Source organism: Homo sapiens, chromosome 8, assembly GCF_000001405.40.
Source record: "Homo sapiens chromosome 8, GRCh38.p14 Primary Assembly".
NCBI lineage: Eukaryota > Metazoa > Chordata > Mammalia > Primates > Hominidae > Homo > Homo sapiens.
In genome coordinates, this window is record NC_000008.11 from 49,496,412 (window position 1) to 49,513,237 (window position 16,826).

General features: G+C 35.7%; 1 long non-coding RNA gene across 1 annotated transcript; it reads right to left on the reverse strand.

The window, feature by feature from the left end:
- Positions 1 to 351: 351 nt before the first annotated feature.
- LOC100507464 (uncharacterized) lies at positions 352 to 15,769 on the reverse strand. Its single transcript, NR_134294.1, has 2 exons — positions 15,716 to 15,769; positions 352 to 564 (listed from the first exon to the last, which is right to left on the reverse strand). It is a non-coding gene; the product is annotated as an uncharacterized LOC100507464 (long non-coding RNA).
- Between the last annotated feature and the right edge of the window lie 1,057 nt (positions 15,770 to 16,826).

Sequence of the window (16,826 nt, forward strand, 5' to 3'; positions counted from 1 at the left end):
GGATGAAGGCAAGATGGAAGTCACTGTGATTTCTAAAGCAAATTCAGAGGAGTGATGAGATAAACCTATCTGGCATCAAGTTGGTGGTGAAAAAAAAAACAGATAATGAGGCATTGAAGTAAGAATTTATAGACAACCCTTGTTGTTTCTGTGCTGATAAAATACAGTTGAATCTCTTGATAAGGTTTTATATACAGAGAAGTTTTTTTTCTGTTTGAATGGCAATATTTAAAAAAACCTCAAAATATATGTTTTTGACAAGTCTCCATAAAACATTATTCAAACACTTTCCATATATATTAAGTATCACCTAACCCATGAATCCCCAAAACAAATGATGGCAACATAGGATAGTCTTATTAACTTTATTCAGCAGATTAGGAAAAGGAGGCACTGGGTGGCAGTTTTCCAAATATCACAAATCTCATTGGTGGTCCTGAATGACTGGAGGGAGATGGAAACAACTCAGGAGGCGCAGAACTGCTGTGGCAGAAAGACAGATTGACATTGCAGGACATGTTTACTGGTTGAAATGAGTAAACAATTTGTGGTCCTATCTCTCACCTACAAAAGAGAGGAGGGAAAATAATCATTCCGTTTTCTAATAATGGATCACAGAATTCACCTTTCTCCAAAAAATACTTAGTAGCTTTATTGAAATATAATAGACAATAAATTGCACATATTTAAAGTGTATGATGTGCTAAGTGTTGGCATGTGTATACCCTTGTGAAGCCACCATCAAAACCACATCACAAGCTTCCTCATCCCCCTTCTTATCCTTCCTTTTCTTCCCCACACTCCCACTGCTGGGGACTCACGGACCTACTTTCTGTCAATATAAATAGTGCAGCATAATTGTGTTGATATATGCTTCATATATTAATAGTCATTTCTATTGTTAAGTAGTATTCCATTGTATGAATATACTACCAGTTGATGGGCACTTGAATTACATATGGTTTGGGGCTCAAAAATAAACTTGCTACATACTGATTATTTTTGTTTATTTATCCAACCAATTGTTTAGAGAGAGATGTTAAAAATATCTGACTATATTTGTGAATTTGTCTATTTTTCCATAGTCTCTCAGTTTTTGTTTCATGTTTTGAAGCTCTCATATTAGCTATGTAACAATTTAGGGTCATTATGTCTTATTTATAAATCTATCATTTTATTATTATACTATGACCCCTTTTGGAGCTGGTAACATTTATTGCTCTGAAATTTACTTTGCTGATATTAACATAGTCAGTCTAGGTTTCTTTGGATTAGGGTGATATGTGGGGTTTTTTCCTTTTACTTTTAACTTATTTATCATCTAAAATGGCTCTCCTGTAGAAAGCACACAGCTACGTCTTAGCTTTTGATTCAAACTACAATTTCTGCCTTATAATTGGTATTTGGAACATTTAAATGTAATGTGATTATTGATAAGATCTTGCTATTTGTTTTCTCTTTCTCCATTTTGTTCTTTGTTTATATCTTCCTCTCGATCTACCTTTTTTGAGTTAATTCAATGTTTCTGATTTCTTTTTTTGATTTGATTTCATTGACTTATTAACTATATATTAACTATATTAACTACATAACTTATTGTTTTGTTTTGATTGTAAGTTTAGAGTTTATAATATATATCTTTAATTTATCACCATCTGCCTTTAAGTGATAGCATACTATTTCACATATTATATAACAATCTTATAATAATATATACTTCCATTTCTTTCCTTTTGACCTTTATGGCATTATTTTTCATTTTCTGAAGTTCTGCATGATTTTACACTACCACCAACAATACGCAAGTAATCAATTTTCTTTGCATCCTGATATGGTTTGGCTCTGTCCCTACCCAAATCTCATGTTGAATTGAGGCTCCCATAATCCCTACATGTCATGGGAAGGACCCAGTGGGAGGTAACTGACTCATGGGGGTGGATTTTTCCCACTCTGTTCTCATGATAGTGAATAAGTCTCACGAGATCTGATGGTTTTGTAAAGGGCAGTTCCCCTGCACATGCTCCCGTGCCTGCCGCCATGTAAGATGAGATATTGCTCCTCCTTTGCCTTCCACCATGATTGTGAGGCCTCTCCAGCCATGTGGAACTGTGAATCCATTAAACTTCTTTTTCTTTATAAATTACCCAGTCTCGGGTATTTCTTTATTACGTATAAAAATGGGGTAATACACATCTTCACAAGTGTTTTGTGTTGTCACCATTTAAATTTTAGTTACAATTTGAAGCAATATCTAATTTTTTTATTTAAGGAAACTCAATATGAGAAGAAAAGTTTATTGTATTTACCGTTATCTTTATTCTTTCCGTTATTCTTTCCCCACTCCCAATGTTTCAAAATTTCTTTTAATCATTCACTTTCTCTTTGAAGAACGTTAGCAGTTCTTATAGGATAGGTATTCTGATGACGAATTCTGTTAATTTTACTTCATCTCAGAATGATTGATTTCCCCATCATTCCTGAAGGATATTTTCACTGGGTATGAATTATGGGTTTAGAGTTCTTTTCTTTCAGTATTGGAATCTCACTGTAGTAGTTTTTTCTGGCCTCTCTGTTTTCAGATGAGAAACATGCTGTCACTCGAATTGCTCCCTTTAGAGGTAAAGTGTTATTTCTTTCTTACTACTTTTTCTTTTTTTGTTGTTTTTCCTTTTTTGAAACGGAGTCTCACTCTGTAGCACAAGCTGGAGTGCAGTGGTGTGATCTCGGCTCACTGCAACCTCCACCTCCTGGGCTCAAGCGATTCTCCTGCCTCAGCCTCCCAAGTCGCTGAGAGTACAGGCACGCACCACCATGCCTGGCTAATTTTTTGTATTTTAGTAGAGATGGGGTTTCACCATGTTACCCAGGGTGGTCTCAAACTCCTGAGCTCAGGAAATCCACCTGCCTTGGCCTCCCAAAGTGCTGGGATTACAGGCTTGTGCCACCGCGCCTGGCCCTTTCTTACTACTTTCAAGGGTTTCTTGTATCTGGTATTCAGAAGTTTGTCTATGATATATCTTGGTATATGTTTCTTTGTGTTTATCTTATATGGAGTTTGCTTAGCCTCTTGAATTTGCAGGTAAGTGGTTTTCACCAACTTGAAAAACTTTTATCCGTTATTTCTTTGAACACTTGCCCTAACCGATTCACTTTGGGGACTCTGATGAAACAAATATTAGACATTTTGTTATGGTTCAACAGGTCCAGAAAGTTCTGCTCATTTCTTTTTCCTGCCTATTTTATTTCTCTTGTTCAAATATGGTTATTTCTATAGTTCTCTCTTTAGATTTTGTGATACTTTTTTCTATCCTTTTCATTCTGCTGTTGAGTCCATCTATTGAGGCATATTCAAATATTTTTGATTATAGCAAATTTCAGTTATAAAAATTCCATTTTCTTATTTTTTTACTCCATTTCTTTACTGCAAATTTCTGTTTCTTCATTCTGATTTTTTATTTTCTAATTTGTTTCAAGCTTTTTAGTAATTCCTTGTTGAAGCATTTATATGATGGCTGAGTTAAAATCATTGTCTGATCCTCATCTGTATCATCTTGGTATTGGCATCTGTTGAGTATCTTCTGTTATTCAAACTGAGATATTTCTGGTTTGTGGTATGACAAGTGGTTTTTAATGGGGACCTGGATATTGGAATATTATGTTATGGCATTCTGGGTCAGTTAAACCTGCTTCATTGGCTTTGTCAGACACTGCCCTGGATGGAAGGTGGGCACTGCCTCATGACTGCCAGGTGGGGTAGTAGTTCAAGTTCCCACTAGATTCTGTTGACATCCATGTGTCAACCTTTTTACTGCTGGTTGGGGGTGTAAGCTCTGGGTTTCCTACAGGCTTTCACTAATGCTACCCTTTGGTAGGAGTGCTCCTTGTTACTTCTCTCCATGTGGCATCCACCAACAGCCGAAGGGGGAGGTGGTCTCAATACCTCTCTGCAATGGTGAAAATCCTGACTCCACTTGGCTTCCTCTGACACCACCCCTTGGGGAGGGGAGAGGCTTCTTATGGCAAAAGGTGGAGGTGAAAGTTCACACTACTTGATATGGTTTGGCTCTGTGTCCCCACCCAAATCTCATGTTGAACTGTGATCCCGAGTGTTGGAGGTAGGACCTGGTGGGAAGTTATTGGATCATGGGGGCTGTTTCCAGTGGTTTAGCACCATCCCCCTAGGGCTCTCTTGTGATGGACTTCTCATGAGATCTGCTTGTTTAAACACATTTATGTTTAATGTTCCATTATTGGAACACTGAGCATGTTGGAGTTATTTATATCCTACTGCTCAAGGCCATTGCCAAGGTCTGATTTTTTTCAAACTCAAAAAATTGCAACCTCAGGAGTAAATGGGTTAAAAGTGTATAGCATCTCTCCCCTCTTTCCTGCTCTGCCGTGGTAAGATGTGGTTGCTTCCCCTTTACCTCCTGCCATGATTGTAAGTTCTCTGAGGCCTCCCAGCCATGCTTCCTGTACAGCCTGTGGAACTGTCAGTCAGTTAAACCTATCTTCTTTATAAACTACCCAGTCTCGGTAGTTATTTATAGCAGTGTGAGAATGGACTAATACACTAGCCACGTGATCTCCACTAACACCATGGGGCTGGGGCCTGTTGTACCCAGCAGGGATGAAAGTTCCGACTCCTTCCTAGGCCCTCCTTGAGACCACCTTAGCAGGGGAGTTGGGACACTTATACTTTTAAAAAAGTTAACTTAATTGCTACTATTTCTAAATTAGATTATATTGAAATGCATAGAAAATAAATACTAAACATCTCTTCCCTTACAGCAATCAACCATGGCCTGTGTTTGCACAGCTTCACAGAATAAAAATGACCTTTACATGTTTGAAGGTATTTTTTAAGAATATGCAACAGAGGCCTTTGTTGCCTGCAAAGCCTACAATATTTACTGTTTATTCTCTTATCATTCACAAGGAAATGTTTGCCCTGTTGCCTTGGAGGAGAAGAAAACAAATATGCAAATAAACAAGAACAAAACATCAAAACATACCTACATGCAAATATCATGAAAATATCATGATGCTTCATTTCTAGTCTTAATTATAGCTCTATAGTGTGTGAGAAAAGTAAATAAAGGCCACAATGCAAGACTCTAAGTTCTCTTATTTGTTGATTCTAATAGTCAAAGGCAAGTGGGCACAAACAATGCATTAAAAGTTCAAGCCTATTGACCTGGGAGCAGAATAAATAGGAGTAAGTCCAATTTGTCTTTCTACCTGCTCCTTCCATGAACTGAGCCATTGACATTCACCCCACTTCCCAGCCCTCCTTCCCATTCTCCTGTGATGTATTAGGATCTGCAGATCCCTGTCTCCATGTCCACTTTAAAAGAACTCAAACTAAGACACCCATATTCCTTTATTCAGACCTGGCAAGTAAAGAACAACTAAAGTCACAGTTTTGCAGCCTCAGACAGCAGTTTGTATTAAATGTTATTAATTCAGTGTCTGGAAAATAGCAATTGTTGATGCAGGTGCTTTAACAACCTAATCGCTGAGATGTCCATTACATCTTGTTATATGAAGACAGGTTAGCACATATTTATATGTTATTACCAGAACATTTGATTTGTCTACAGTTATAAGGTCTCTTTGCACATTAAAATTGATTTTCTGTCTAGTTCTGTCTCATGGAAAGGGAACAGGACTATGCTTAATAAATAAGCATTTAAAAATAGTTCTAAAGGACTTATAATCTTGAGCCTATATATTTGATTGTTGAAGACCTACTTATGAGGAAGTTTCTCATAAATTAAAAAAAGAGAAACACTTAGCAAAAGTTACAAGTTATGCTCCTGAAACTCCTTGGTGAAAAATAACTCGATAATTATTTGGACCTAATTTGCTTGGTTCATAAAAAGGAACTAAGGAATTTCTCTAAATCATTATAAATCATATGACATTTCCAGTTCCTTAAATATACTAAAATTAAGATGATATGATTCTAACAGGTTCATGTTAAAACAGAAAATTTTGAAAATTGAAGTTGCATTACTACAACCCTATAGGGAACCAACAGGAGGGTGTCAATAGATGGTTAGTAATGTACTGACTCATTTGCCACTGGTGCATCTCTGTGTGTTCACTGGCTCGTTTACTCAGAGAAGAGACTAAGCGTGCTTGGTGTGATCCATTCTCTGTCTCTCCCTCCCTCCTTTTCTTGCCTCGAGTGTTATCTCTGCTTTGTTAGCATCAATGCTATAAGCAGCATGTCCCTGCAGTGAAAGTCCACAACTTTATATTCATGTCAGGGACTCGGGGAGGTTGTGGGCCTGAGTCAAACTCAGAGTTTGAGGAAGCCCACTGAGGACACAATTCTCAGCAAGGTTCCAAAATCATCCTTAACAATAAAACTGACTCTTTTCTCTCAATCTAGAAGGTCTGCTGCAGACTAGATGTTATGTCCTTTACAAATTCATATGTTGAAATTTCACCCTAATGGTGATGGTGTTAGGGCATGGAGCTGGTGGGAGGAAATTAGGTCATGAAGGCAGAGCCATCATGGATGGGATTAGTGCCCTTATAAAATAAACTCCAGAGAGACCCCTTGCCCTTCCTACCATGTGAGGACACAACTAGAAGATGGCTGTCAGTGTCCCAGGAAGCTGCCCTCACCAGACACTGAATTGGCTGGCACTTCAGCCTTGGACTTCCCAGCCTCTGGAAATGTGAGAAATACATTTTTGTTGTTTACAAGACATGCAGTCTAGGATATTTTTGTTATAGCAGCCCAAACAAGCTAAGACATGATACCAGTATCTAATTTTCCACTGACTTCTGAATTTGCTATTGAAGAGGACAGGAGAATATTATTTATTGGCTCACTGAAATCGCAAGAGGATATAAATAGATTTTAAGAATTCACACAGACATAAGAAACTATGCATAGTGATCATCAATTTTACAGGGGAAAACAAATAATTATATTTTAAAATTTTTCTTGTATTTTTTCCTTCTCTATAATGCCTTCTTTTGTCCTTCTCAATGCTGTTTCTTATTCTTCCTTAAATGTACTTGCTGATAAACTCTCCTAGGTCTACTATAGGGCAACACATGTTCTTATGATTTGTAATGTTTAGGGAGGGGAGGTTTGTAGAGGCGGGGATGCAGTCAGGAACCAGATTTTATTGATGTACTCTACATTTTGGAAGACAAGATGAGGCAAAGAATCTTGAGTGGATGTAAGAACTGAAAAGACCCGGGCCTAAAATCAACCTCCAAAATATGCTAGTGGTGTTACCTCAGATTGCTCAAGTTTTCCCATCCCTTTCAAGTGATTCAGAGCTAACATCTCAATATACCAAACTGATTAAATGCTTAACCTTTAAAGTCAAACAGACCTGGGTTTGAAATTAACAATGCTAATTATGAGCTGAGTCATTCAGGCAAAAATTATAGGTAATTAACCTCTCTGTGTCTTAGTTTCTTTTCTGTTATATAATAGATCTTTTACTGGGCCTGGCACATATAAAGCATTCAATATATTTTAAGTGATAGAATGGTGATTTTTAATTCACATCATTAGGTTTCTCTTAAGTCTGACTCCAATATTTTAAAAATTCAAATAATTTTATAGACTAAAATTTGGAGAAGTCATGGGAAAGCAAGAAAAGGCAATTATATGTATAAAAAATTATAATTGGGAAAATGACATTTGCAAAGCTAATTTCCCTCAGAACTAATTTTACTGCAGTTTAGAAAACCAAAAGTAAACTTAAATTATGCATATGCAAAAAATTGGCTTGAACTCAATATGAAATATAATAAAAAGTTACTGCTATAATTAGAATAATGTTTTATCTTTGTTTTCAATCGATTTGGTATTTCATCTTTCTCAGATAACTTATAATTTTGCCAAAGTGTTAAGAAGTTATAAAAATACAGTGTAACAAGAACTTTCCATGTTGACATAATTGCCCTGAGCAGATACTGTGCCCATGAAGAAGTAACTTATCATAATTTACAAAGAAATAGGAGTGCCGCTTTGCAAATACATTGACACTTTTTTTTTTTTGCATTCAAATACCCCCTTTTTCAGTGATTATTTTCTATTGCTTAGGTAACTTTGTTTTTCACTCTGATAATATGTAAGGGTTATTTCTTTCTTTTCTTTTTTCTTTCTTTCTTTCTTTCTTTTTTTTTTTTTTTTTTGATATGTTGTCTTGCTCTCTTGCTTAGGCTGGAGTGCAGTGGCATGATCACAGCTCACTGGAAATCTCGACCTCCCTGGCTCAGGTGATCCCCCTAACCCAGACTCCCAAGTAGCTGGGACTATAGTCATATGACATGATGCCCAGCTAATTTTTGAGTTTTTTGTCTAGATGGTGTATTAGTCTGTTTTTAGACTGCTATAAAGAACTACCTGAGACTGGGTAATTTATAAAGAAAAGAGGTAAAATGGCCATACTTCCCAAGGTAATTTATAGATTCAATGCCATCCCCATCAAGCTACCAATGACTTTCCTCACAGAATTGGAAAAAACTACTTTAAAGTTCATATGGACCCATAAAAGGGCCTGCATTGCCAAGACAATCCTAAGCCAAAAGAACAAAGCTGGAGGCATCACGCTCCCTGACTTCAAACTATACTACAAGGCTATAGTAACCAAAACAGCATGGTACTGGTACAAAAACAGAGATATAGACCAATGGAACAGAACAGAGCCCTCAGAAATAATACCACACATCTACAACCATCTGATCTTTGACAAACCTGACAAAAACAACAAATGGAGAAAAGATTCCCTATTTAATAAATGGTGCTGGGAAAACTGGCTAGCCATAAGTAGAAAGCTGAAACTGGATCCCTTCCTTACACCTTATACAAAAATTAATTCAAGATGGATTAAAGACTTAAATGTTAGACCTAAAACCATAAAAACCCTAGAAGAAAACCTAGGCAATACCATTCAGGACATAGGCATGGGCAAGGACTTCATGTCTAAAACACCAAAAGCAATGGCAACAAAAGCCAAAATTGACAAATGGGATCTAAAGAAACTACCATCAGAGTGAACAGGCAACCTACAGAATGGGAGAATAATTTTGCAATCTACTCATCTGACAAAGGGCTAATATCCAGAATCTACAAGGAACTCAAACAAATTTACAAGAAAAAACAAACAACCCCATCAAAAAGTGGGAAAAGGATATGAACAGACACTTATCAAAAGAAGACATTTATGCAGCCAAAAGACACATGAAAAAATGCTCATCATCACTGGCCATCAGAGAAATGCAAATCAAAACCACAAGGAGATACCATCTCACACCAGTTAGAATGGCGATCATTGAAAAGTCAGGAAACAACAGGTGCTGGAGAGGATGTGGAGAAATAGGAACACTTTTACACTGTTGGTGGAACTGTAAACTAGTTCATCCATTGTGGAAGAGGGTGTGGTGATTCCTCAAGGATCTAGAACTAGAAATACCATTTGACCCAGCCATCCCATTACTGGGTATATCCCCAAAAGATTATAAATCATGCTGCTGTAAAGACACATGCACATGTATGTTTATTGTGGCACTATTCACAATAGCAAAGACTTGGAACCAACCCAAACGTCCATCAATGATAGACTGGATGAAGAAAATGTGGCACATAAAACCATGGAATACTGTGCAGCCACAAAAAAGGATGAGTTCATGTCCTTTGTAGGGACATGGATGAAGCTGGAAACCATCATTCTCAGCAAACTATTGCATGGACAAAAGACCAAACACTGCTTGTTCTCACTCACAGGGGGTATTGAACAATGAGAACACTTGGACACAGGAAGGGGAACATCACACACCAGGGCCTGTCATTGGGTTGGGGGAGGGGGGAAGGATAGCATTAGGAGATATGCCTAATGTAAATGACGAGTTAATGGGTGCAGCACACCAACATGGCACATGTATACATATGTAACAAACCCGCACGTTGTGCACATGTGCCCTAGAACTTAAAGCAAAATTTAAAAAAAAAGAAAAAAAGAAAAAATAAAAGAGGTTAAATTGATTCACAGTTCTACAGTCTCATGCTGGGGGAGGCCTCAGAAAACGTATAATCATGGCAGAAGGCAAAAGAGAAGCAAGGCACATCTTACATGGCAGCAGGAGGGGAGGAGGGGAAGTGTTACACTTTTAAACTATCAGATCTCATGAGAACTCACTATCTTGAGAACAGCATGGGGAAAACTGCCCCGATAATCCAATCACCTCCTACCAGGTCCCTCCCTCAACACATGAGGATTACAATTGGAGATAAGATTTGGATGGGGACACTGAGCCAAACCATATCAGACTGGTTTTGTCATTCTGCAAAGGCTGGTCATGAACCCCTGTGTTCCAGCTACCCTCCAGCCTCAGCCTCCCAAAGTGCTGGAAATAGCTCACCCAAGGCTATTTCCCATGAGGATAATTTTGTTTGAAAGGGATATTTAGTAGAAAACTTAAAGGAAGAAGACCGGGCACAGTGCCTCATGCCGGTAATCCCAGCACTTTGGGAGGCCGAGGTGGGCAGATCATTTGAGGACAAGAGTTCAAGACCAGCCTGGCCAACATGGTGAAACCCCATCTCTACTAAAAATACAAAAATTAGCTGAGCATGGTGGTGGGTGCCTGTAATCCAAGCTACTGGGGAAGGTGAGCCAGGAGAATAGCTTGAACCTGGGAGGCGGAGGTTGCAGTGAGCCGAGATCACGCCACTGCACTCTAGCCTGGGCGATAGAGGGAGCCTTTATTTGAAAAAAAAAAAAAACAAAAAAAAAAACTTAAAGGAAGTAGGCACACATCAAACCTACAAATCAATTAAAATCATGCAAAGAAAATACTATTATGCACAGTAATTGAACTAATAGGAGTTCTGTTACATCTCCTGGTAATACATATGAACTGTAATAAAAATTAGTTTCTAAAATCCATTTAACCTTACATCAAGGAAGTTTGTATGAAATTATGTATACTTCAAGGAAATCATTATTTTATAAACTGCAAAGTGAATATGTATATGGACATTTCAAAACTATGACTTGGTATATGAATCAAGTGTTACATATGTTATTTTAACTTATTAGTATTATTTATGTGATATTTTATTATGATGGAAGCAATACGTTAAAAATCTAGCTAATATTGAAAACACAAGCAAATAAATTATATTAATACGAACTACCTAAAGAAGTTATTTAAGAGCAAATATTTACTGATTTACTAATAAATTTAGATTTTTTACTATAAGTAGTTTTTTATTTGTAAGAAACTATAGAAAAGTATTAATAAATATTTTAATATATTATTTTAAACCTAGAATTATGTCTTACCATACACTAGAAATCAGCTTTGTCATTATTCTAAGGATTGTGCTTTAAAAGCTAGTAAAATGTATGAATTTTATTAACTTCTTTCATTCTGAAAGTTAAATGTATATTTGTGAATTATAACAAATATATTGTATACTTTTAGTTGTAGTAAAATATATATAACCAAATTTACCATCTTAATCATTTTTAAGTCTACAGTTTGTAGTGTTAAGTACATTAATATTGCTTCACACCCACTCTCCTAAACTTTTCATCTTAAAGTTAAAACTCTACTCATGAAACGACAACTCCCCATTCCTTCCTCCCTCTCTGTAGCCCCTGGCAACCACCATTCTACTTTCTGTCTCCATAAATTTGACTTCTCTAGGCACCTCATGGAAGTGGAATCATAAAGTATTTGTCTTTTTGTGATTGACTTATTTCATTTAGCATAATGTCCTCAAGGTTCATTCACATTGTAGCATCTATCAGATTTTCCATCTTTTTCAGACTCAAAAAGTGCCCCACTTTATGGATTCTGACATTTTGCTTTTTCATTCATTTCATTTCATCCATAGATGGAAGCTTGTGATCATGGGTGTACTAACATTACTTTGAGCCCTGCTTTCAATTATTTTGGGTATATATCCACAAATGAAAAAGCTGGATCACATCATAATTCTGTTTTCCATTTTGTGAGAAACAACCATATTGTTTTCCCTAGCGTATGCACCATTTTACATACCCATCAACAGTGCACACATGTTCTAATTTCTCCACATCTTTGTCAAAATGGGTTACTTTCTATTTTTTAAATAGTAGCCATCCTAGAGATGGTATCTCATTGAGGTTTTAATTTGCATTTTTCTAATTAGGGGTGTTGAGCATCTTTTCACATGCTTGTTGATCATCTGTATGTCTTCTTTGGTGAAATATTTATTCAACTTCTTTGCCAGTTTTTGAATTGGGTTGTTTGGGTTTTTGTTTTTTTTTTTTTGTATCATTGAGTTGTAGGAGTTCTTTTTACGTTTTAGATGTTTACCTTTTATCCACCGTGTGATGTACAAATATTTACTCTCATTCTGTTGGCTGCCTTATCATTCTGTTGATTGTATTCTTTGATTCACAGACATTTTTTAATTTTATGTAAACCAATTTACCTATTTTTCTCTGTTGCTTGTGCTTTTGGTGTTGCATCCAATAAACCGTTACCAAATCTAATGTATGAAACTTTTCACTTTTGTTGTCTTCTAATAGGTTTAGCCATTTATGACCAACACACAGCTATCACCATACTCGATGATAGGACACTGAAACCTTTTCCCGTAAGATCAGAAAGAACAAGACAAGGATGCCCACTTTTGCCACTTCTATCTAACACAGTACAGGAACCCAGAGAAGTTAGTCAAGAAAAGGAAACAAAAGGCATTCAAAGCAAAAAGGAGGGTGAAAATCTTTTTTCTGTTTGCATATGACATGATTGTATATGTGGAAAATCCTAAATAATCTAATAAAACATTGTTTTAACTGAAAGAAATTAAGCAAAGTTTCAGGGTACAAAATCAACAAGCAAAAATCAGTTTTTTCAATACTATTCTAATTCATCAACAGATTCAATACAATCCATATCAAAATCCCAAAACGATCCATGTCAAAATTCGGAAGGTATTTTTTTTTTGCAGATATAGAAAAACATCCTAAAATTCACATGGAATCTCAAGAGATTCCGAATAGCCAGAACAATCATGAAAATTCAAAGCAAATTTAGAAGACTTATACTCTCTGATTTTAATATTTATTTCAAATCTACCAGAATCAAAATATTTCTATAGTTTTATATTCTCTATTTCACTTGCTTCTCTCCTAATATTTATTATCCCCCTTCTTTTGCTAACTGTAGATTTAATTTGTCTTCTTTTTCTTGTTCCCTGAATAAGGTTTTTAATTTGAGATTTCAAAATTTATTTTTAGTGTTAGCTTTTGCAGCTGTATATTTTCCCTGGTGCTGCTTTCACAGTGTTCCATGTGTTTTAGAATGTTATATTTTGCTCTCATCTGCCTCAAGGTATTTTCTAGTTTCCCATGTGATATCTTTTCTGCCCATTGGTTGATTAAGAGTGTCTTGTTTGATTTCCATAATTTAGTAAATTTTCCAGTTCCATCGGATACTTAGTTCTAGTTTCATCCCATTGCAAGTAGCAAAGAAACCTTGTATGATTTCATTTTTTAAAAATTTATTAAGACTTGCTTTTTGGCCCAACATTTGCTCTATCATAGAGAATGTTCTATATGTACTTGAGAAAAATGAGTATTCTGATACTGTTGTTTGAAATGTTTTGTGTATGTTTGTTAGGTCTAATTTATTTATACTGTTTTCAAGTCTTCTGTTTATTTATTGATCTGTCCTTTTCATTACTACATGTGAGATATTAAAATTTTCTACTATTTTATAGAGCTGTCTATTTTTTTCTTTCTGTCAATGTTTCTTTCATATATTTAGGAGCTCTGATGTTGGGTGTATATATAATTGTTATATTTTCTTAGTGGCTTAATTATTTTATCACTAAATAATGTTCTTTGTCTCCTCTAACAGTTTCTGGCTCAAAATTTATTTTGCATGACATTAGTATAGCCACCCCTGCTCTCTTTTGATGGCTATTGGCATAGAATACCTTTTTTCATCCTTTTACTTTTAACATATGAGTGTTCCCAGATCTAAAGTGAGTCAGTTGTAGACAGCATGTAGTTAGATCCTGTGTATATATCTATTCTGCAAATGTGCATCTTTTGATGGGGAATTTAATTCTTCTGTATTTTATGTAATTCCTTAAGGGAAAGAATTCACTCTTGTAATTCTGTTAATTGTCTTCAGTATTTCTTTGAGCTTTTTGTCCTTCATTTCTTTCCTTATTAACTTTCTTTTTGTTAACTTTTTTTAGTTAACTTTATGTAGTGATACATTATGATTTGATTTCCTTCTCATTTCCTTTCTTGTATATTCTATAGTTATTGCTTTTTGTTACCATGGGGATTACATAAAACATTCTAAAGTTACAGCATGCTGTTTTAATCTGATAACAACTTAACTTCAATTGCATATAAAACTTTACTTCTTAACAATTTAATTTCCTCTTATTGTTGTTGATGTCAAAAATTACATTTTTATATGTTTTGTACCCATTGCATCAATTTATGCTTTTGTCCTCTAAACCTTATGAAAGAATTAAAAGTGGTATTACAAACCAAAACTAAAATAATAAAATATTTTTGTCATGATAATTACCTTTACCTGAGAACTTCATTTTTTTTTTGTATTGCTTTAAGTTACCCTCTGGCATTCTTTCATTTAAATTTGAAGGACTCCCTTTAGCATTTCTTGTACACTACATTTGGTAGTAATCAATTCCCTCAGCTTTTGTTTCCCTGGAAATGTCTTAGTTTTCTCTCATTTTTGAAGACCAGTGTTGCCAGACATAGTGTTCTCAGAATTTTTTTCCTTTAACTTTAAATATATTTTATATTAGTTCCCATTGTCTTTTGGCCTATAAGGTTTCTTGTAAAAAATCATGATAATCTTATAGGGCTACCATGCACAAGGTAAGCCATTTTTCTCTTGCTACTTTGAAGTTTCTCTGTCTTAACTTTTGGCATTTTGACTATAATGTATCTCAGTGAGGGTCTTTTGGTGTTTATTTTACTTGGACTTCCATAATATACATGTTGGTTGGCTTGATGGTGTCCCATAAGTCCCCGTGGCATTTCTCAGTTCATTCTGTTCATTTCTGCTCCTTTGACTCTGTAATTTCAAATGAACTGTCTTTAAATTTGCAGATTATTTCATCTGTTTAATTCTGCTATTGAATCCCTCTAGTTAATTTTGTAATTCTGTTATTATATTTTCTCAGTTCCAGAATTTCTGTTTGATTCATTCTTATAATTTCAATATCTTTGTTGATATTATTTTGTTCATATATTGTCTTCCTGCTTTCATGTAATTCTCTTTCCCTTCTCTTTAGCTTGTTGTGCATACTTAAGACAGTTATTTTAAAGTCATTGTCAGGACCTATGTTTCTTTAGGGTTAATTTCTAGACACTAATGTTGTTCCTTTGAATGGCCATATTCGCTGTTTCTTTACATGACTTTTAATCCTTTTTTGAAAACTGCGCATGTAAAACACCAAGAGAAAAACAGAACAAAGCAACAACGGCAAAGCTAACCACTTCTCCCATCCTTTGCAGACTGGCTCCATGCAAGGGCAAATACTCACTAATCAGCCCCATGTACACACGCATTGTTGTTTCAAGCCTTTTCTAGAAATGACTCATCACCGGGTGACAAGTCACTTTTGTTCCAGTTCATCCATTTACACAATTGCTTTGAAATGTTTTAATTTCCTTAAGAATCTCACCCTATTTCTTCTTGGAGCCATAAGCATTTTATCGTGTTCCTCTTCCTTGATCTCTTGCCTTTAGGTGCCTGCAGGTCTCCAGTTGCCTTTCAGCTCTCTTCACCATGGCAATCACCACTGCTTTCAGTGGCCTCCAACCTGATGTCCTAACAATGCCACCATTCCAATCAACTCTCCAAGTCAGGTGACACAGAGACGAGTCTCCTGGCAGTCCCTAGACAAGCCCAAATGCTGCAAGTTCCACTTATTTCCTTCCAGATTAAGTAGGTATTGGACAACTTTCTCTTGACTGTGTCACGCTGCTCCAAGGAGTGAATGGAGCAAGGAGAAGCAAAAATACTACAAAATATTCTACTATTGTTATTGTGGCTGTTTCTTTTGGCATTCACTCGGTTGATGCAACTTCTAAAGTGGTTTTTGAAGCTCTAAAGTCATTTTGGTCCATATGTCACTTTTCATTCTGTCTTACCATGGGTGAGTGAAGGTCTAGAGCTTCTTAACCTGCCATCTTTCTAGTATCACTCCAGAACAATCGACTTTTTTGCCCTAGTCTACTTCTTGGTAGTACTAAAACTTGCAATTCCCTATCTTTTGTTGAATATACTTAAGGATAATTTACTAGGCACAACTGACAATAACATAACTCACTTTCAAGAAGCACAGGTACATAGACACTTCCCTCTTGAGAGAAAATCATACTGACACAAATGTAAGTTTAAGAAAATAATATCTTAAATTTTATAAACTGAAAAAAATGTACTAATATCTCCTCACAGAATATTGTACAGACATATACTTAATATATTACTTTACTCATTATTACATTCCTTTGGTTAAAATACTGTAAAATATGAAGGAATCAACAAATATTATTTCCTTCCTCTTTCCTACTCTGCCTATTTTTCACCATGATTCCCTCCCTTTTGCACACCGTTCTCTGCTGCAGTGTTAACAAACATGTTACAATCTCAGTAGTAGGCAAACTCTTTGAATTCTGATGTTTCTTCCCATTTATTTTATATAACATGTGTTGACAAAGCATACATCTATTAAAAATTCATGTACTCCAGTTATTTTGGTATGATCACTTTGATGACTAAATTATAATAGA